Below are 22,908 nucleotides of genomic sequence, written 5' to 3'. Positions count from 1 at the left end.
GTCTCCAAAAAAAAAAAAAAAAAAAATTGAAAAAAAATTGAAAAAAAATTGAAAAAAATATTAAAAGTACACAAATAAAAACTTTGAAACTACGGCAAGTGTTCTTTATCATTTTTTCCATGAACCACCCCTTTGGCAGTCTGATGAATCCTATGGACCTATGGACCTCCTCTCAGGAAAACATTTTAAATGCATAATGTAAAATACAAAAATATTGCAAAGAAGAACAATTATATTAAACAGAATGTTAGTGTAATTGTTCTCTGTATTTACAAAATAAATCTGTGGTATGGTAACGTACGTGCTTCTTTATTAGATCATTATCTATGGGTCTAATAATTATTTTGAAGTAATGTTGAATGTAATGTGATATGAAAATATCTGCAATCCCTGTTAATAATAAAGATACTGCTGATTTGTTTCCTATCTGGTACAACTACACTTAACCAAATAAAACAGCTAGGTGTTTCTGCTAAGAAACACTGCGTGGTAACGTTTCCCGGATAGCCCAAATGATCTCTATCTTCTGGTGTTTACACCATGTGTAGTCCCTTCTCACAATATACCATACAATAAAAGAGAATGCTAATTTTTAGTTAGATGTTAATGAAAACAAAGACCTAAACTTTTCCCTATAACAATTCGCTCCTTGGACCCCAGATCAAAAACCACTTGTTTGAATGCTTGTTCATTTAACAATACTCACATAAGGAGGCATCATAGCTCTATACTGGGAAGCGAGAGCAGCCTGCTGTCCATTCAGTTTAGCCTGTGGAGGACCACAAGCTATCCTCTTTTCCACCACTTTGAGGATATCATTTTGCTCTGATGTTCCAGCTGTGCTTTCATCCTGGCCAGGGAGCTTTTCATCTTGATCAGATGACGAAGGTGAGCCAGCAGCCTTACCACCATCTCTCCAACAAGCAACATCTAGTATGAAGGCAGAGAAAAAAGGAAAAAGATAAAAATCTGAAAATGGAACAAAGTGAAACCAAAATGTATTTCAGGAAAATGAAAGCAAGTAAGCAGAGTGAAAGAGCAGGAAAAGTCTAATCCAGGTCCTACTAATGCTTTCAAGTTGTTTGCGTAGTAGTGGCTTCCAAAGTGGAGAGGATGTACCTCAGAGGGTGTCACCACAAGCAAATACTGGGGTGGGAGAAGAAAATATTAGAACTTCTCTATGAAGCTTTATCAATATTTGGTATAGAAATTAAAATCACTGTTCTCCATATATCAGATGGCCATGTTTCAGAGTGACACACCTGAGGTTTCCTGAGGGAAGGAAGATGGGACTTCTACAATCTGGAAGGGTTGACAGTGATATTCTCATTTGTCTGTTTCCAGTATATTATTGTTAGTTACAGATGCCCCCAAGTGAACAGATTGCGTGAAATTATCTGGTGTAATTACACTTAACCAAATAAAACAGCTAGGTGGTTTTGCTAAGAAACACTGCATGGTAACCAGTCTCCTGGATAGCCCAAATGATCTTTATCTTCTGGTATTTACACTAAGTGTAGTCCCTTCTCACAATATAGCAGGGTTGGTCTGTGTAACCTGTAGAATATGGCAGAAGTGATAGCATGTCCCTCTCCAGATTAAGTTATTAAAGACTGTGGGCTTCTGTCTTGGGTGGAGGGTGTCTGTCTCTCATCATTTATTCTGCAGAAGCCATGTCATAAGCAGCCCCACTAAGAGACCATGAAACTAAAGAGCCAAGAGCTACACCAGTCAGTTTGGAAGTACAGCCCCAGTCAAGTCAGCTTCAGACAGCTTCATCGCGGCTTTGAGAGAGAGTCCCTTGGCCAGAACCTCAAACTAAGCTGACCCTGGATTCCTGACCTTCAGATACAGTGGGATATCATAAGTATAGTTCAGTTTGTTGTTTTACATTGCTAAATTTGTTATGCAGCAATAGACAACTGGTGAAAATTCAACTGAACAAAATAGAGGAGTCAGCACATCTATTTCTAATACAAATGCACCAACCACATTATGACGCTTGAAAAATAAGATTTAGATTTATTTACATCTGACAAGAGCTAAAAAATGTGAAATACATCAGGTTTTTAGAAATATGGAATTTGTAAACACTTCTGTCATAGACGAACCTCCCCATGTAAACAAGGTCCTTTAAGATACTTGGTAATGACAGTATGAAGCTATCACAATTAAGAAGACATTTAAAAATCCCTCGAACATTTTACACTTTTATTTTTAGTTTTTGCTTTGTAATGTACATAAACTATCCCTCATTATCCAAAATTATTTGTTTCCTCAGTTTGAGCTCAGAAAGTGAGGAATCACCGAATATTAATACAGTAGTAAGTAAATAGTTACACATTAGGGAAGCCTGCTCAAAAACTAGTATAAAAAAATCCAAATATTGGTATACATGAAAGTCACCTGGACATCTTGTTAAAATGTAGATTTTGATTTAGTAAGTTGGATGCGAGGCCCAAGATGACACATTTCTAACATGTTCTCAAGTTACAGTGATACTGTCGGTGCAAAAATCATACCTGAGTAGCAAGTGACTATAGTACAAAGTCTGCCTTTTCGAAGTAGGCAAATAATATATGCAACAGCAAGCAGGAGGTTGTATTGCAAGATAATACACAAATATGATCTCATTTTGTATTAAAGAGAAAGTACTCTTACTTGGTGGACGTAAACTGGGTCCAGGTCCATAGTTGTCATCATTTGTTTCCTTTTCTTTTTTTTCCTGATCCCCAGCTGCCTGCAGGCTGGGAAATTCTTGCTGAAACTGACTATTCACTTGGATTCCTATAGATTTTTTTAAAAAAACATTAAAGGTAACTTTTATACTGAAGATAATACAAACCACCCTCCCAGGATAGAGCTCTCTGCCTCTTTCTCTTAAATTATTCCACATTTCAGTGATGACTGTTCATAGCCATATCACTTTAAAATTCACCTAGACTCCTTTGAAAAGCTAATGATCAGCCATGAGGAGATGAAAGTCTAAGACAGTAATCTACCAGTACCATTCCAGAGGACTCATTTAAGATGACCATGCAAGTGAAGAGCTTGTTTCTCTTTCATTATGACTCCTTACATTTTCAATACACATCAAATTCCTCTGCTAAGAATTCTCAGAATTCGTTCAAATCATATTACTGAAATAGTGTTTGATGAATAAAGACCCCAAGATCAAGATGAGGCTAAAATGCCTTTATTTAATTTATTGCTTCATTTACTTTACTTTGATTTAATTTACAGCTAAGATTATTACACCTCACTATTCACCCAACTTCCTATCTACCTATTTTTTGTACTTCTATAAATTAAAACAGCTAGTTTTGTTAGCTTGAGGGCCCAGATTGGTTCTTCCATAGAATGTTTTATAGACAGTTCCTGTTTCGAAAGTGGGAAAACTAAATTCTGCTGGGGATTCCATCATTCCTTGGGGGAAAGGGGAATATTACAGCAGTGGTGCTTTATGGCTACTTTCTAGCTCTTCTCCTCTCAGGAATCGTGGCAGCATGTCTGAAACAGGAGATGTTGGGGACATAGATGAAAAATGAGTATGGTTTCTAACAATCTATGCGATGGCTGGATACTTTGAAGGTACAAGCTTTGCTTGGATATGCAGAGGTAAAGATAAAATGATGTGGGGCACAGGGTATCTTAAAGACTCCTTTCCTTAACCAATATCATTGACTCATACATGGCTCTTGACATTGGAACTTAGCTAGCCCAAGAGATTTTTTAAAAAACCTTTTTAAGAGCCTTGAGTATATCCTTTAACAATGCTTTATGGCTCTACCAAAACACAGTTCACCCCTTATCTCCTGCATGGCTGTTCAGTAACTATCAAGCCTAGGCAGCTTCCCCAACTAATGTCCACTTACCATCTCCTTGCCCACCTTGCTTGTTACTGGCCCATGATTTGGGAGCAGGTGCTACTTCTGGGGGAGCTGCAACCCCAGGTTTTGGCTGTGCTGGTGGCACTTCTGGTGTTCTTAAAAAAAAATATGAATCCATTATTTCAGATACTGTATGTTTAAATAAAATCAATATTATATTTAAGGTAAACCTGTGTACAAATTATTTTGGCTATATGTTTATTCATTGGTAAATCTCCAATAAATGTTTTCTCTCTGCAACATTCCTTTAAATGAATTATGGCTATTTTTATCGTCTTTCATCTCTACCTTTGAATAACCCAATGAGATGAGTTTTGCTTGTTTTCCATTTTGTTTAAAACACACACACACACACACACACACACACATACACACACACTTTTAATTAAACACAGTTACCAAATATCTGTTTTGAAGAAGTGAACACTTATAATTAAAAATAGCAGTATAAACATACATACAGTCTGGACTGGTGAAATTAGTTGAGGGCTAAAGCTAAGCAAACTCCCCACCTGGCAGTCAACAGGATCACCACTGTACTTACTACTGTTATTCAAAGAGGTAACAGCAACCTGCCTAATGCATTCACATGAGTAAAAGGTGTTTTGAAAGGGTGTACAGTTTTATTCAATTCTTGTAATGAGGTAATGCTTAAAAATAAGAAAGTAGTTAAGAGGCTCACAAAATGCAATGTGTTTCTGGGACACTCATACCTATAACTGACTCATTACTATAAAATAATTTTACTACAGCTAACAAGCATTTACGTATTTGATACATTACTACAGAAGTAGTCAAATTTACTATATAAATCTCCCCAGGCAGGAGTATAGAATTTTGATAAGAGATAGGCAAGAAAACATCAAGTATCCAATGGCTTGTCTTATTTTTTTTAAATTACCACTATTTAGGCTTGGTCATTCAATTAGCTAAGAGTCTGGCAAAATCCTTGACATACAGAAGTCTAAATAGTTGTTGAAAGAAGGATGACTAAGATGGACACTATTAATTCTATCCTAACTTTCTTGCTACAGTATATACAAATTATTACTTGAGCACCTATGAAACATCAGGCAGTTTCAATGCTGGAGATACACAGTAAATTGGCAGACAGACATCCTTAGTATCATGGAATTTAGGTATCGGAGTCAACTCTTAATCATATTGGAAAGGGAATACCTGAGTTGGTGGTAGTATGAAAGCGGGGAGCCTAATAAAGGCTATGACATAAGCAAGGTTGTGATTCCCAATTCTGTCATCTGTTCTACCCTGACAAATTGAAATACTTTTAATAGGGAAAATTAACCAAAAGTTACTATAGTCAAAAGACTTTAAAGAGTATAAAATATGTAATATGTAATACAGACAGCATAACACTTAGCAAATAGCAGGTACTCAAACATAAGTTCCCTACAAAGAAAGGGGAAGGGCTTCATTCTTTAACAGACTTTGACTCACTTTTCTTCTTCATGTTGCTCTTGTTTTGATGCCCACCCTGTGCCATCTTTAGGTACAATGTTTACATTAGGATCATTGCCTTTGTTTTCTGCTTTAAGACTTGGGAGGTTAGCAGGTGGAGGCATACGCCGTGAAATACCGACTTTTCCAAGACTCTGTAATCCATGTCGAGCTGCAACTAAAGATCAATAACATCAACTTTCTTAGAACATCTATTTTATTACCCATTTTATTCCTCAAACAATATAGAAAAACAATAGGAATTAATGCAATCCCTGAATGATTTTCATTCATGTATTTTAAAATAATAATTTTAAAACTAAGCTACACACCTGCAACACATTTCAGTGTAGAAATCAAGCCATTTAACAGCATTTAACAGATTCCTTAAAAAATTTAACAATGCAATTCAACACACTACAGAAAACATTGATAATACTGATATTTTTTCAGAGAATCTATTTCAAACTCAAAACTTAGAATGTTAGAGAATAAATGTATTGACTGTATGTTCATAAAGAATACTGTTAATATGCCATGCATGATTTTCAGTTTTCACTATATTCACTAGGTCACAGTATCTAACACACACACACACACACCCCCACACACGAAACATAAGACTTTCTCTAGTCTATAATTAAAAAGATACTAAATTCCCACTAATATATAGGTCTGTGCCTATCAATCTCATTGACTGAGTTTCCCCTTTAGAGCCACACAGTTCTACCTTTTTTCTGCTGACAACAGAGAAAAACAAAAATATTTTTAAAGGGCTCTATGAAAGTATAAATTTTCAATTATAAGATGTTTATCACATATCCTCTGAAAAATGTGTGCATGCATAAAAACGCAAATGTAAATAGCATTGTATTAACTTGGGTACATCCTAGCTTCTCATAGCAGCAGGTGTATCACTTATAGTAACAAAACAAACCATGAAAAACATAAGTGTCACTTGATTTTACTCACCTGTGGTTTTCTGTGTTTCTAATGATTTCCCCTTGTAAGTATTAAATAAACTGAGTGTTGCATACTTTTTCCCATCCTTTGCTTTTGTGCTCTGGCCTGACTTCTCCGACATTTCGGTGGAAACTCATCGAGTCCAAAACCTCCTGCCACACCCCTTAAAACCCCAGTCCTTAAGATGTACATAAGAAAGAAAAATAAGGATGAAAAACTCAGTAAATTCAAATGTTCACAGAAATTCTGAAAAAACTTCCCATATCAATGATAATTTCATAGAACTTTTTAACTGTCAAATTCCAATAACCAATACACAACAAAATTGATCACAATAAGCTATCATGCACTTGTGAAACATATCAGTTATATATGGTTATAACTGCTTAACTCTATCATAGAGAATAAGGGTTATAATTCCATGCTGTCGTGAATAGTTAAAACACAGTGAACCCACTGAGACTGTCTATTTTAAAAAGATATATTATCCAATTTAATATGCTTGAAATGACTGACACATCAACCTATGCACATGGAATCCAAATGACAGGACAACATCTTCATTCCCCTACATATTACATCCCTGTATCATCATCAGGCAGTATGTGCCCAACAAAGCTCTATTAACTTTAACAGTTTAGAACAGAAACAACGTTCTATGTTCTCTTCATTTCGTAAAAGGTAAAACATCTCACAAACACAAGGTATATAAAAATAACCTATTTCATCACTGAGGACTAAATATTCAAAAAATAGTATCCATTTTTTTCAAAGCATATATAAAGTTCCCTTACATATGAGAAGTTGTTAGAAATAAATAACATTTTCATAAGCATTCAAATACAAAGAGAATCCTCATCTTTAGAGCTAATGTACCCTCATCTTGGTGATGCACCCTAACTTAGTCTATTAATAGATAGGCAAAAAAGAAAAATTATGTCTCATGCTATTTCCCTTCAATTTAATTAAGTTGTAGATACATATCAACCTAACGGTTGTTTTTGTTTTTGTTTTTGAGGGGTTATTGTAGCAGTAGGGTAGAAGATGGCTAATTCTACCATAGAAACGATCAATAGCTGAAAACATTGAGAACTGAAACACAGGAGCCAAAGATAGTATAGAATAGGTATACCAAGCAAAAAGCATCAAAGTAAAGCCTATATCCACTTTACTTTTATAAATTTCGTTTCATCCGTTAGTTTTATATTTGTCAATTACAGAATCAGCAGAGATGTCATTTTATATGCATGTAAAATGCCACCCAACGTTTGTATAGTTCCATAAAATTTATCAGGCATTCTCACCTCTATTATCTCATTTCAGTCAAACAACTTTACAATGTAGTTACTGTCTTGATTTTTACACATAAAGACTAAATCAGATTGAATTTGAAACTAGGGTGTCGGGTTCAATCCATTACACTATGCTGCCTCCTCCCACATAACAGTGTAGATAACCATTTCGCTTTTCACGTATACGTTTACAATAAACCATCTTTCCTTGAGACAACCGACAACCTGAAAAAAGACTGACCTACAACCAATAGGACTACACTAATACAATTTGCTACTATATGTAGAAGAATGTATACAATTAATTTTACCCCAAGACCGCTAATGATGATGATGTTGTGAAAAGAGAATGTACTACCAAAATCTATCCTATTGGCAAATTTACCAGTAACATGTACAAAGATATAGAAAGAATATTCATCTACAGTGACAAAAGAGGACAGTAAATATTCACTACCTGACAAAATTAAAATTCAAAGAGCTTTTTCATCAGGTGAAAAAAAAAGGAACTGATGTATCAAGAAAAACAGTCAACTTGCTTAAGTTATTTAACTAAGAATCCTGAAATCTTGGACTTTTCTGAACACCATTATTACTCAAGCAGCACTCTTGGTGAAGACCCTTTCTGTATATTAGAGAGAAAGCAACATCATGAGAAAAGAACTCCTTAAACTTCCTAGGAGCAAATCTCCAAACCAACCTGTATCTAACATCCAAACTTTCCTTCCTACACCTACTGCTACTGCGGTTCGCAGAACCATGTTTCTGGCCGGGCACGATGGCTCACACCTGTAATCCCAGCACTTTGGGAGACTGAGGCAGGCGATCACCTGAGGTCAGGAGTTCAAGACCAGCCTGGCCAACATGGTGAAACCCCGTCTCTACTAAAAATACAAAAATTAGCCAGGCATGGTGGCAGGCACCTGTAATCCCAGCTACTCGGGAGGCTGAGGCAGGAGAATCACTTGAACCCGGAAGGTGGAGGTTGCAGTGAGCCGAGATCATGCCACTGTACTACAGCCTGGGTGACAGACCAAGACTCCGTCTCAAAAAAAAAAAAAAAAAAAAAAAAAGAAACAATGTTTCTGAGACATGTGATTCTAGAGAAACCATGTTTCTCTAGAAATAGGATAAAAATGAAAATTCTCAGGTCCCAACCCAGACCTACTGAATCAAACTCTGAGGAAGGGGCCCAGCACTCTATAGCAAGTCTTCCAGATTGACTAAGACTTACAAAAATGTTAAGACCTACCGACTTATTATAAGCAGATATATTCTAAGCAGTGATTCTCAACTCTTGCTGTATACAAATCTGGGGGCAGGGGGGAAACTGGGCATCAACTCTTTTTTAAAAAAAAAAATTCTTCAGGTGATTCTAACTGAAAGTAGTTTGAGAATCACTGCAATACAGAAAGTTTATCTTTCTTCTCATTCCATTTAAGGTCAATCTTTCCTCTAGTGCTCTTCATCCTATCCCCACTTCCCTTCTTATCTAAACTCTTGTCTAGGAAATCTCATTAGCTCCTTTGGCTTCAACTACTAACTGATTACCTTCAGCTCAGTACTCCTGAGGAATATATCCCCACACTGCCTGTTTACATTTCTTTGTTTTGAATGAAGTTTCACTTTTAACTAGAACAGAGGCATCTATTTCATGGCAAAACTTTAAGAAGCAAGCCTACTAAACATTCTGTCCAGCATAAGAGAAAAATAATGGTTAAAAAATCAAATTGGGCCGGGCACGGTGGCTTTGGCCTGTAATCCCAGCACTTTGGGGGGCTGAGGCAGGTGGATCGTGAGGTCAGGAGATCGAGACCATCCTGGCTAACACGGTGAAACCCGTCTCTACTAAAAATACAAAAAATTAGCCAGGCATGGTGGCAGGTGCCTGTAGTCCCAGCTACTCGGGAGGCTGAGGCAGGAGAATGGCTTCAACCTGGAAGGCGGAGCTTGCGGTGAGCAGAGATCATGCCACTGCACTCCAGCCTGGGCGACAGAGCAAGACTCTGTCTCAAAAAAAAGGAAAAAGAAAAAGAAAAAAAAAATTAAATTGATGGTCAGTGAAGAAAATAATCAACACTTGACAAAATGTAAATATGTTATAAGAACTCAACAAATCAAAGCAGCCCAAAGAGTAAAGCTTTGAACAGACAATTCACTAGAGAAATGTTAGTAAGCAAGCGTATTAAAATGTCCAACGTTACAACTAAACAAAAATCAAAATAAAATGTCAAGTTCAGCTTCTCCATATTCTTATGAAGGAACACAAAGTAGTAATACACAATTTAACCACAGGGTTATAGAACATCCGATTTAACTCTAGCCATCGCAGAACACTCAAGCTTAAAAGAATCATAAAATGAACCTTAACTTCCCTACTTAAAATCAAGACAATACCAATCCTTCTCAATAACACATTAAACCAAGTTTGATTTATCCCTAGAATGCAAGATTGGTTTAATATATGCAAATCAATGTGATATACCACAGTTTAACAGAATGAAAAGTAAAAACCAAATGATCATCTCAATAAATGCAGAAAACCACGTGACAAAGTTTAACATCCTTTCATGATAAAAACTCTCAACAAAACAGGTACAGAGGAAAATTCCTCAACATAATAAAGGTCATTTACAAAAATCCCACAGCTAACATCAAAATCAATGGGAAAAACCTGAAGGCTTTTTCCTGAAATCTAGTACACAGCTAGAATGTCCACTTTTACCATTTCTATTCAACACAGTGCTGGAAGGACTAGCAACAACAATCAGACCAAAAAAAGGAATAAAAGGTATCACAAATCAGAAGGGAAGTAAAACTATCCCTGTTTGCAGATGACATGATCTTTTAAGTAGAAAACTCTAAAATTTCACAAAAACTGTTGAAACTAATAAATGAACTCAGTAAAGCAACAGGATACAAAATCAACATACAAAAAATCAGTTGCATTTCTTTTCACAAATAACAACCTAGATGAAAAGGAAATCAAGAAAACAATCCCATTTACTAGAGCATCAAAAAGAATAAAGTTCTTAGGAGTAATCTAACCAAGGGAGCAAAATACCCATACACTGAAAACTATAAAATATTGATACAAGAAATCGAAATAAATAGAAAGATAGCCCACATTCACAGATTGGAAGAATTAATATTGTTAACAAGCCAGCAAAGAAAGACCTGAGAGGATCAGAGGGGAACAGTGCCTGAAGTTCATAAAGGGCTGGGAATAGTACCTGTTTCACAACCAAGACTAAAAAGATGACATGACATGCTTCACCAGGCATTAGGTAGAGATTTTTTTTTTGAGACAGAGTCTAACTCTGTTGCCCAGGCTACTTAAGTACAGTAATGCAATCTCAGCTCACTGAAACCTCTGCCTCTTGGGTTCAAGTGATCCTCCTGCTTCTGCCTCCCAAGTAGTTGGGACTACGGGCGTCTGCCACCATGCCCGGCTAATTTTTGTATTTTTAGTAAAGAAGGGGTTTCACCATGTTGGTCAGGGTGGTCTTGAACTCCTGATCTCAGGTGATCCACCGTCCTCGGCCTCCCAAAGTGCTGCGATTACAGACGTGAGCCACTGCACCCAACCCAGGTAGAGTACTGAGCAAAGCCTTGCCTCCAGCAGTGGGTGAAAATTACCCTAATGTAAATACTGCTCTGATCTTGTCTAACAAATCTTTTCTTCTTTTTATGTTAAATAAATGAGATGGAGTCTCACTATGTTGCCCAAGCTGGTCTCAAGTGATCCTCCCACCTCGGTTCTTCCCAGTAGGTGGGATTACAGGCATGTGTCACCACATCTGGCTTGTCTAACAGACCTTAAAGCTACACTTGAAAAGATCAAACAGTTTCCCAGTAACTTAACTGAATCCCAGAATCAAGGGGGGTGGGGAGGGGAATCAAGCAAGTGAAACCAACCTAGTCTTGACTATTGATGTTAGAATTAGTGGACAAAAATGTTAGAAGTTATTTTTCTTATGTCACCTTGTCTAAGAAAAAGCTACTTTATAACTGTATTCTATATGTTCAACAAGCTAAAGATTGAATACAAATAGAGACACAAAAGACATGAAAACATCAAAACATAGAGAAAAAAATACACCAATTGGTATTACTAGCATTTTAGACACACTGCCAAAGGAAACAATACTGCAGGCTGCAACCCTTTATGAAAAAGAAAACTCCCCTTTCCAATTAAAACACACACACACACACACACACACACACACAAAGAAAAAAAATAGTGAATCTGAAGCCATCAATAGAAGCTATCCAATGGGAAAGATAAAGTGGAAAAAGCTTAAAAAAAAAAAAAAGACCTTAAGTGAACCTTAAGACAACTTCAAACAGCCTAATCTATGTGTAATTGGTGTTACACATAGAGGGGCTTGAGAAAGTGAAAAAACAATGGCCAAAATGGTACAAATTTGATGAAAACTGCAAACCCAGATCCAAAAGACTCAACAAAGCCCAAGTCTAAGAAACGTGAAGAACCCACACCAAAGCCCATCATAATCAAAGTATTTAAAACCAATGATAAAGAGAAAATCTTAAAAGTAACAAGAGAAAATGTTGCTTTACATACAGAGAAACAGAATAACAGCAGAATCCTCATGGGAAATGCTGCAAGCAGTAGAGCTACATGCTTAAAGTACTGAAAGAAAAAATAAAAACAGAATTCTACATGCAGCAAAACATCTTCCAAAAATAAAGGCAAAATTGGCTGGGCACGGTGGCTCATGCCTGTATTCCCAGCACTTTGGGAGGCTAAGGTGGACAGATCACTTAAAGTCAGGAGTTCGAGACCAGTCTAGCCAAAATGGTGAAACCCTGGCTCTACTTTTCACCACTGTGTCATCATAGTGTGTACTTACAAATGTAGATGGCATAGCCTACTGAACACCAAGGCTATATGGTATAGTCTATTGCTCCTAGGCTTCAAACCTGCACAGCATGTTACTGTACTGAATACTGTACACAACGGTAACAAAAGCTGAAATATTTGTATATCGAAACATGTCTAAACATAGAAAGCGTACAGTAAAAATATGGTATTATAATCTTATGAGGCCACTGTCATATATGCGGCCCACTGTTGACTGAAACATCGTTATGCAGTGCATGATGTGGATGCAGAAAAACTATCTGACAAAAATCAACCCATTCCTGATTTGAAAAACAGAAACAAAACAAAAACCTCAATAAATAGGAATAGAAGGGAACAGTCAAAAGTTTGTATGCTTGCCCTTCTGTTCCCTTCAATGAAGAGAAATGAGGTAAGGATATCCACTCTCTCTTAACACTTCTTTCTGTTCAACACTATACTAAAAGTTCCACCCAGCAAAATAAGAAAGAAACAACAAAAAAAAATTCAAATTGGAAGGGATAAAGTAAAATTGTCTGTAATAGTTAGCATTATATGATCACATATGTAGAAAATCTGATATCTTAAAAAACCTACTAGATGGGAGTTTACAAGAGCATATAAGATCAATACACAAAATTCAATTGTATTTCTATACAGCACTAAACAATCAGAAACAGAAATTACATATAGTGCCATTTGTAATAGCAATAAAAAATGAAATACAGCCGGACACGGTGGCTCATGCCTGTAATCCCAGCACTTTGGGAGGCCGAGGCAGGTGGATCACCTAAGGTTGGGAGTTCGAAACTAGCCTGACCAACATGGAGAAACTCTGTCTCTACTAAAAATACAAAAATTAGCCGGGTGTGGTGGCACATGCCTGTAATCCCAGCTACTCGGGAGGCTGAGGCAGGAGAATCACTTGAACCCAGGAGGCGGAGTTTGCCATGAGCAGAGATCGTGCCATTGCACTCCAGCCTGGGCAACAAGAGTGAAACTCTGCCTCAAAAAAAAAAAAAAAAAATTGAAATACTTAGGGATACATCTGACAAAAGATACGTAAGACCTACACATTGAACACTACAAAACGTTATTTAAAAAGCTACACAAACATGGCATAAGAACTTATGCCATGTTCATGGATCACAAGACCCAATATTAAGATGTCAATTATTTTCAAGTTTATCTACAGATTCAAAGCAATCCCCAACAAAACCTCAGAAGAAATTTATTGGAGGACAAAAGTTGTCAAGCTGATTCTAAAATTTATAAAGAAATGGACTGGCTCTAGAACAGCACCACCCACCCCCTACCCTCCACCCCGCCAGCTTTGAAAAGAATGAAATTGGAAGGTGAATACTACTTGCTTTCAAGACTTAAGGCACAGCAATGAAGACAGTGTGGTACTGGTGTAAAAATAAGACAAATAGTTCAGTGGAGCAGAATAGAGTCTAGAAATATAAATACACATAAGCATTTGATTTTTGACAAATGCAAAGAAATTCAGTGGATAAAGGACAGTCTTCCCAAAAATGATACTGGAGCAATTATGTGTACATAATATTAAAAACTTAACACTGATTCATACCTTACACCATATATGAAACTCAACTCAAAAATGAACCATAGACAAAATGTAAAACCTGAAACTGTAAAACTTCCAGAGAAAACATAGAAAATCTTTGTGACACTGGGTTTAGATAAGGACTTCTTAGATATAACACCAAAAGCACAATCTATAAAAAATGAAATTTATAAACTGGACTTTTGCTTTTTGAAAGATAATGTTGAGAACTAAAGGACAAACTAGAGTCTGGAAAAAAAATTGTCAAATCATAGATCTGAGAAAGAACTTTTATCAAGAATACATACAAAACTCTCATAACAACCAACCCAGTTTTTAAAAATCGGCAGGAGATTTGAAGAGACACTTCACCAGACATATACAAATGGTAAGTAAGCATATGAAGATACTCAGTGATATGGTTTGGCTCTGTCCCCAACCAAATTTCATCTTGAATTGTACCTCCCTCAATTCCCACATGTCATGGGAGGGACTCGGTGGAAGGTAACTGAATCATGGGGACGGGTTTTTCCTGTGCTGTTCTTGTGATAGTGAATAATTCTAAAGAGATCTGATGGTTTTATAAAGGGAAGTTTCCCTGTACAAGTTCTCTCTCTTTGTCTGCTGCCATGTAAGACGCAGCTTTGCTCCTCTTTGCCTTCTGCCATGATTGTGAGGCCTCCCCAGCCATGTGGAACTGTGAGTCAATTAAACCTCTTTACTTTATAAATTGCCCAGTCTTGGGTATGTCTTTAGCCATGTGAGAACAAACTAATACACTCAGCATCATTTGTATTTGGGAAATGCAAATTTAAACCGAAATAAAATACCTCCACACATCCAATACAATTGCTAAAATTATAGAATGATTATATCAGGTTTTGGCAAGAATATTAAAGAACCGGAAATGAAAATAGCACCATCACTTTGAAAAACAATTTGGCAGTTTCTTTTTTTTTTTTTGAGATGGAGTCTCACTCTGTTGCTCAAGCTGGAGTGCAGTGGCGCGATCCTGGCTCACAGCAACCTCCGCCTCCCGGGTTCAAGTGATTCTCCTGCCTCAGCCTCCCAAGTAGCTGGGACTACAGGCACGTGCCACCACGCCCAGCTAATTTTTGTACTTTTAGTAAAGATGGGGTTTTGTCATGTTGGCTAGGCTAGTCTCGAACTCCTGACCTCAGATGATCCACCTGCCTCATCCTCCTAAAGTGCTGAGATTACAGGTGTGAGCCACCACACCCGGCCTACAAACACATTTATATGAACATTCACTGAGCACTCTATCATTATCAATAAGCCTCCTTCTACCACCAAAGGTGTTTATGGTAATGCCTCTAGTTTTTGTGCACCTGCATGGGAACCTAACCCACACCTGTAACACTGTTTCCAAGGGATAAAGTATTTACTTCTCTCTTATATGCCTTTGCCATTGGACATTAAAACCTTAGATAACAAAACCAAAGTCGGCTTGGCGCGGTGGCTCATGCTGTAATCCCAGCACTTTGGGAGGCCAAGGCAGGCGAATCATTTGAGGTCAGGAGTTTGAGACCAGTTCTGCCAACATGGTGAAACCTCATCTCTACTAAAAGTATAAAAACTAGCCGGGTGTGTGGTGCATGCCTGTAATCCCAGGTAGTCAGGAGGCTGAGGCAGAAGAATCGCTTGAACCCAGGAAGTGGAGGTTGCAGTGAGCCAAGATCGAGCCTTTGCACTCCAGCCTGTGTACGGAGCAAAACTCCATCTCAATAACAACAATCAACGTCCTTTTAAGGCCTACTAGAGTAGTTGGTATGTTCTCTAAAATATAATTTAGCAAAACAATTCTCTACAGGTTACACAGAAACAAGCCTTTTTTGGTGTTTCAGATATTAGGATATGTTATGAAAATACAGATGATGCCCCTGCCTTCATGGAACTTTTAACAAAACAATAAACAAGTAAATAAAAATGTAGAAATGAAAAACTCAACTGGGTAAAAAGGGGCAGCAAAGAGGTAAAGGGGACTTTGGATAGGATAGCAAAGGTCCAGAAGACCTCTCTGAAAAGGGGACAGGAGTTAAGGAAAACCAATCAGTGGTTTTCAACTTAGGCTGCACAGTTATCCAAAGTTTTAAAAAAAAATTGTATGTCAAGGCCCCATGCCAGGCAATTAAATCAGAATTTCTTGGGCCAGGCCTGGCAATAGTATTTTTTGAAAAGTTCCCCAAGTGTCTCTAAACTGTACCCACAGTTGAGAACCACTGAAAAGCAAACCAATTTCAATCTAAGAACGTTCAAGTGTAAAAGTCATGTCTCAGGGAGACAGGCAGGAGATGAAATCAGAGTAGGCAAAAGTCACATTTTGCAGAGCCTTGGATTAGAAGTGTTATCCTTGAGTTTATTCTAAATGCCACAAAAAAAGCTGGGTGTGGTGGTGTATACCTGGAGTCCCAGCTACTGAGAAGGCAGGGGTGGGATGATTATTTGAGTCCAAGCCCAGCCTGGGCAATACCAGCAAGACCCCCATCTCTCATTTGCAATAAAAAAACAAAAAAGGTTTTAATGGCAAGAAAAGCCACTGGAGGAAAAAGCTAGTAAAAAAATCTCAATTGCTGAGTAGGCACAGATGCACTCAGCATAACCACATTTAAGTAACAAAATGGTACAATTTACATAATTAGTAATCCCAAAACCCTTGAAACAGCATGCTCAGTAGCATTTGCCTTCAGCTTGCCAGCTCTGATTTCAAAACCCATCCACACAGTTATAGAGGATATCAAAATAAGTATACCCTCTACCTATATCAATTTTAATTTTGAAAAGCTTTTTTATTACTTTTACAATGTTAGTACTTTTTATATTACTGTCCTACTAGCCATGTATCTAAAAATCTCAATCATTAAGGGCAGAGGATCAGCCTGTAAAAACAAAACCTTCTGAATAACACACCTTTCTTTCTCTGTTTAAGGAAGAGAAAATCATTATTTTAAGTTCAAGGTTCTATGACTGACTGAGCAATGCTGGTAAGAAACTAGCATTTTTCATTGTAATTAGATGTATCAAAACAGGTACACCTCAGCTGGGAGTGGTGGCTCACATCTGTAATGCCAGCACTTTGGGAGGCCAAAGCATGCAGATCACTTGAGCTCAGGAGTTTGAGACCAGCCTGGGCAACATGACAAAACTCTGTTTCTACAAAAAATACAAAAATTAACAGGGCATTGTGGCGGGCACCTGCAGTCCCAGCTACTCAGGAGGCTGAGGCACGGAGGACTGCTTTGAGTCCAGGAGGTCAAAGCTGTAGTGAACCCTGTTCACACAGTAGCTCATGAGTAGTAACCCCAGCACCTTGGGAGGCCAAGTCAGGAGGATCACTTGAGCCCAGGAGTTCAAGACCAGACTGAACCGGTAGTGAGACCCTGTCTCTACAAAAATAAATAAACTAGCTGGGTATGGTGGCACACGCCTGCAGTCCCAGCTACTCAGGAGGCTGAGGTGGGAGGACTGCTGGAGCACAGGAAGTCGAGGCTGCAGTGAGCCATGATGGCGCCACTGCACTCTACCCTAGGCCAAGAGAGTAAGACCCTGTCTCAAAAAACAAAACAAAACAAGACATGTGCATCTGCATTTTCCATATTTTGTACAGCAAATATTACCTTGTAACAGTTTTGTTTTTGGGGGGAGGAAAAAAAGAAATGAAAGAAGAAGTTTAGGAGGAAAAAAAGGAAGCCAGGGATTTTAAAGCAGATTGTTTCCAAAAGGTCTAAAAGAAATTTGGAAGGCAGCAGTTTAATATATACATTAACCTTTTAAAATCAAAGAATGACACTGAACAGTGATAACAAAAGGACGTTTTTCATGAAAGGATAGCTATCCTAGATTGAAACTCTCTGGAGACAACCTGGGCAACATAGTGAGACTGTCTCTAACAAAACAACTAAAAAGTAGCCAGGCATGGTGGCGTGTACCGGTAGTTCAAGCTACTTAAGAGGCTGAGGCAGGAGGACAGCCTCAGCAGAAGTTCAGGGCTGCAGTGAGCTATGATTGCACCAGTCCACTCAAGCCTGGGTGACACAGCAAGATTGTCTCTAAAAATGAAAAAAATTACAATTAAAAAGAAGAGAAAATCTGGAAGAAAAAAGTCTAAGTGGTTTCCACATTTGTTAAAGAGATTAGCTATGGTCTCTCAAATTCCTTTGGTACTCAAAACTATAAGATTCTAGTTTTAATACTGAAAACCTTATTTTAAGCAATACTGAAAATTTAGTATATTTGGAAAAATAACCCCCATACTTCGGCAAATTGCAATTTGCTAAATTCAACTGAATGACATAACTTTCTTTCTGGCCACAATGGGTTTCTAAATATCCAAGCTCTGTTTACCGTTCTTTCCTCATTATTCTCATGATGAGAGTTCAGTTCCCCTGGAAAATACAGTGTCCCCCAGATTTAAATAGTTAACATTAAAAATGAACGACAACAATTTCCAGAGAAGTATACTCTACAAGTGTTTTACAGAACATTTGTAAATCAGGAAATAATGTGTATTAACTAATTGATAATAGTCAAGTATCACATATAAATATAAAAGTTAAATAGCATCTGTGTAAACCATTTTCTTTGGTTTCCATGACTATGACAGCTTTCAGCCTCGTTACTTTTTTTCTGTCTCTTCTTGCCATTGCTCCCTTTTCTGTTTCGTCTTTTTTTGAGTCCCACTTTGTCGCCCAGGCTGGAGTGCAGTGGCACGATCTTGGCTCACTGAAATTTCTGCCTCCCAGGTTCAAGCGATTCTCCTGCCTCAGCCTCCAGAGTAGCTGGGATTACAGGTGTCTGCCACCATGCCCGGCTAATTTTTGTATTTTTAGTAGAGACAGGGTTTCACCATGTTGGCCAGGCTGGTCTCGAACTCCCGACCTCAAGTGATCCACCTGCCTCGGCCTCCTGAGTAGTAATCCCAAAGTGCTGAGATTACAGGCGTGAGCCACCGTGCCCGGCCCATCTCTCCCTTTTCTATTAATAAGTGCTTTCTCCTTTGGCCATCTCATCTGCTGTTCACTGCTTCAAATATTATCAGTAAGGACAATTCCAAAACTTTCCTTCAAGCTACAATCTTTAGATACACAGTTTTAATGATCTACAAAACATCACTTACATTTCCTGTTGGAACTTCAAACTCAAAATGATTAGTTCCCCTATTCACTCGTACAAATATTTACCCAGTGTCTACCATATACCAGGCACTGCTAGGAACAGATGAACAAGAGACGTGCTTTCCTCATCCACTGAGTGGAGGCAGAATTTAGAAATTTGAGGAGGCTGGAAAAGGTTTGAAAAGCAAATGGGAGAATGTGAAAGACAGCCAAGACATTGGGAAGAAGCACTGAAAGCTTAGTAGGGCTGAGTGTCATGGCTCAAGCCTATAATCCCAGCACTTTGGGAAGCCAAGGAGGGAGGAATGCTTGAGCCCAGGAGCTCCAGATCAGCCTGTGCAACTTAGTGAGAGATCTTGGTCTCTAAACAAAATGAACAATTGGCCAGGTATGGTAGAGTATGTTTATAGTCCCCGTCCCAGCTACTCAGGAGGCTGAGGTGGAAGGGCCATTTGAACCCAGGAGTTCCAGGCTGCAGTGAGCGATGATCGCAACTGCTGGGCAACAAAGCAAGACCCAGTCTCCCCTCCAAAAACAAAAAAAAGAAAGCCCAGTAGAAGCTGGAGAGCAAGGGTATACAGAATTTCCAAGTTTGTGCAGTTACGATTCTCTTCAATGTCCAGTAGGACATCCAGGGAGTTGGGAGTGGTAGGAAGCACAAAAGCAGATGGACTGAATCAGAGATTAGAGTTGCACCAGTAATCAGTAAACTAGTAAAGAAAAGCAAGGTGGATGAAGATACTGCCAGAATTTCTGGAGTAATGTTTTACTGAAGTCTAATCCAGACAGTGAAAGAAAATGGTTTGAATGCCTATGTTTCTTCCAAATTTCATGCTGAAACTTAACCCCCAATGCAACACTTTTAAGAGGTGGGGTCTTTAGGAGGTGATTGGGCCATGTGGGCTCTGCCCTCACAGATGTGATGTGTGCCTTATGAAAGGGCTGGAGGGAACTAGCTATGCACTTCTGTCATCTGAGGACATGAACAAGGTGCCATCTTGGAGGCGGAGATCCTGCCTGTCGATAACTTGATCTTGGACTTTCCAGCCTTCAGTACCAACAGAAATTAATTTCTGTTATTTATAAGTTACCCAGTCTCAGGCATTTTGTTACAGCAGCATGAATGGACTAAGAGAGGAAGTCAGAAGAGAATGAGGAGGAGAGCAGAAAGGACTGGTGATTTCAGTTAAGGTTGACTAAAAGCTCTAGCAATAAAATAGTAATTATTGGCAGGGCATAGTGGCTCATGCCTGTAATTCCAGGAATTTCGGAAGCCGAGGCGGAAGGATGGCTTGAGCTCAGGAGTTCAAGACCAGCCTGGGCAACACAGCAAGACTTTGTCTTTTCTTAAAAAAAAAAAAAAAAAAAAAAAATTAGCTGGGTATGGTGGCTCATGCCTGTAGTCCCAGCTACTTGGCAGGCCAAGATGGGAGGCTCACTGGAGCCTAGGAGGTTGAGGCTACAGTGAGCCATGATTGTGCCACTGCACTCCAGCCTGGGGGACAAAAGGAGACCTTGTATCCCCCCACTGCCCCACCAAAATCTGAGCTCCAAAGATATAGTATAACGTAAAAATACCCGATTAGGGCCACGCGCAGTGGCTTACACCTGTAATACCAGCACTTTGAAAGGCGAAGGTGGGAGGACCACTTGAGCCCAGGAGTTCAAGACCAATCTGGGTAACATGGTGAGACCTCATCTCTACAAAAAATAAAATTTAGCCAGGCCTGGTGGCACATGCCTGTCTCCCAGATGCTCAGGAGACTGAGACAGAAGGATCGCTTGAGCCTAGGAGGTTGAGGCTACAGTGAGCCATGACTGTGCCACTGTATTACAGCCTCGGCAATAGACAGAGTAAGACCCTGTCTCAAAATAAATAAATAAAAATAAAAATAAAAACCAGATTAGGACTAAGAAGGGCTTAAAGCCTAAATCACTGAAAATTACCAATGAAGAAGCAATCTTAGAGAAGTAAAGTAATTTGCTCAAAACACACAGAGCTGGAAAGTGGTAGAGTCAAGATTAAATCCAGGCTGACTTCAAAGCCAGTGCCCAACATAATCTCATTATTTAAAAAATCAGGATTGAACTTTCATTTTGAGAAATTAACAAACTGAAATATAAAACAATAAATGTCACTTAAGAGACCCTAAATGATTCATGTTTTCATTATCAAACATACTGCATTACAATATAGAATAAGATATCAAAGATAAAACACAATAGCAACAAAACATAGCAACATCTCTATTAACAAATGTATTGGTGGGGCATGGTGGCTCATGCTTGTAATCCCAGCACTCTGGGAGGCAGAGGTGGGAGGATAGCTTGAGCAATGGAGTTTGAGACCAGCCTGAGCAACATGGAGAGACCTTGTCTCTACCAAAAAAATAGCCAGGTGTGGTGGCACATGCGTGTGGTCCCAACCAGGAGATTGAAGCAGGAGGATCGCTTGAGCCTGGGAGGTTGAGGCTACAGTGAGCCAATGATTGCACCACTGCACTCTAGCCTGGGTAACAGAGTGAGACCTTGTCAAAACAAAACACACACACACACACACACACACACACACACACACACGCCCCAAATGTATCGATTTGCTGCTAGAAATGTCATTTTGTAATACAAGTAAGGAATAAGAGCTTGTGAAATAAATTTAAAGTTTCTGGTGATGACAGGGTTTAGACAGCAGCCATTAAAAACCAAGCACAGAGTGCATGTGTGTGCCTATGTGCATACTATACAGAAAATAATAAAGTAAATATGGTAAAATATTAACAAGTGGGGAATCTGAATGAAGGAATATGGTAATTCTTTGTATTATTTTTGTAACTTGTAAAAAACAAGAATCAGGCCAGGCGCAGTGGCTCACATCTGTAATCCTAGCACTCTGGGAGGCCAAGGCAGGTGGATCACTTGAGGTCAGGACTTCCAGACCAGCCTGGCCAACATGGCAAAATACCATCTCTACTAAAAATACAAAAATTAGCTGGGTGTGGTGGCGTGCACCTGTAGTCTCAGCTACTAGGGAGGCTGAGGCAAGAGAATCGCTTGCACCCGGGAGGCAGAGGCTGTAGTGAGCCAAGATAGCACCACTGTACTCCAGCCAGGGCAACAGGGGGAGACCCTGCAAAAAAAAAAAAAAAAAAAAAAAAGGCACAAAAATCAAAGCTCTAAAAATCGTAAAGGGGGCAGGGGTGCTGATGGACTGATGGGTGCCCCCCTGACATTCATATGTTGAATCCCTAAATCCCCTGGGCTGATATTTGGAGATGGGGCCTTGGTGAGGTAATTAGATTTAGATGAGGTTGTACGGGCCATGAGGGGATTAGTGTCCTTATAAAAAGAGATACCAGAGCTTGCTCTCTTCTCCATTAGAGAATACAGTCAGAAGGTGGCTGTGTGCAAGCTAGGAAGAGCCCTCACCAGAACTACTATGCTGGCACCCTGATCTCAGACTTCCAGCCTCCAAAACTGTCAGAAATAAATTTCTGTTTTTTAAGCCATCCAGTCTATACTATTTTGTTATGGCAGCCTGAACTATGATGAGGGGAGACTGATGCATTAACTTCAAAAACCAGAATTTTATCACTCAAATTTTAACTAAATTGCCCATTTAAAATAAAAAAGCCCAAATATTCACCACACTCCTAGTTCCAAGTGAATCAGCATCCACAAAATATAAACCTTAAAAAAATTTAGTCACTTCCTTCCCTCAATCCACTTGATTTTTTAAGACTAC

The 22,908-nt window shown here is 38.7% G+C and overlaps 1 protein-coding gene across 18 annotated transcripts in view, besides 1 other annotated feature; it reads right to left on the bottom strand.

Moving 5' to 3' along the window:
- Positions 1-22,908, bottom strand: part of PRRC2C (proline rich coiled-coil 2C) — a 107,982-nt gene that overhangs the window by 74,991 nt on the left and 10,083 nt on the right. For 13 of the 18 annotated variants that reach the window (XM_005245020.3, XM_005245015.3, XM_005245025.3 and 10 more), the window contains exons 2-6: positions 6,321-6,489; positions 5,349-5,526; positions 3,876-3,985; positions 2,662-2,787; positions 707-930 (exon numbers count right to left, since the gene is read on the bottom strand). In XM_005245020.3, coding sequence (XP_005245077.1) covers positions 707-930; positions 2,662-2,787; positions 3,876-3,985; positions 5,349-5,526; positions 6,321-6,432 — 750 coding nt within the window. In that variant the 5' untranslated portion in view covers positions 6,433-6,489. The remainder of the gene's footprint in view (positions 1-706; positions 931-2,661; positions 2,788-3,875; positions 3,986-5,348; positions 5,527-6,320; positions 6,490-22,908) is intronic. The other 5 variants (XM_005245016.6, XM_006711238.5, NM_015172.4 and 2 more) reach the window with 3 other exon arrangements.
- Positions 11,148-11,683: an enhancer, noted in NCBI's record as "NANOG hESC enhancer chr1:171475977-171476512 (GRCh37/hg19 assembly coordinates)". NCBI's record gives its function as "activates a minimal SCP1, AML or CMV promoter by ChIP-STARR-seq in naive H9 embryonic stem cells {active_cell/tissue: H9 hESC(naive)}" and the evidence as "EXISTENCE:reporter gene assay evidence [ECO:0000049][PMID:30033119]".

This window comes from Homo sapiens, chromosome 1 (genome assembly GCF_000001405.40).
Source record: "Homo sapiens chromosome 1, GRCh38.p14 Primary Assembly".
NCBI lineage: Eukaryota > Metazoa > Chordata > Mammalia > Primates > Hominidae > Homo > Homo sapiens.
This window is presented reverse-complemented; position numbering and strand designations above follow the sequence as displayed.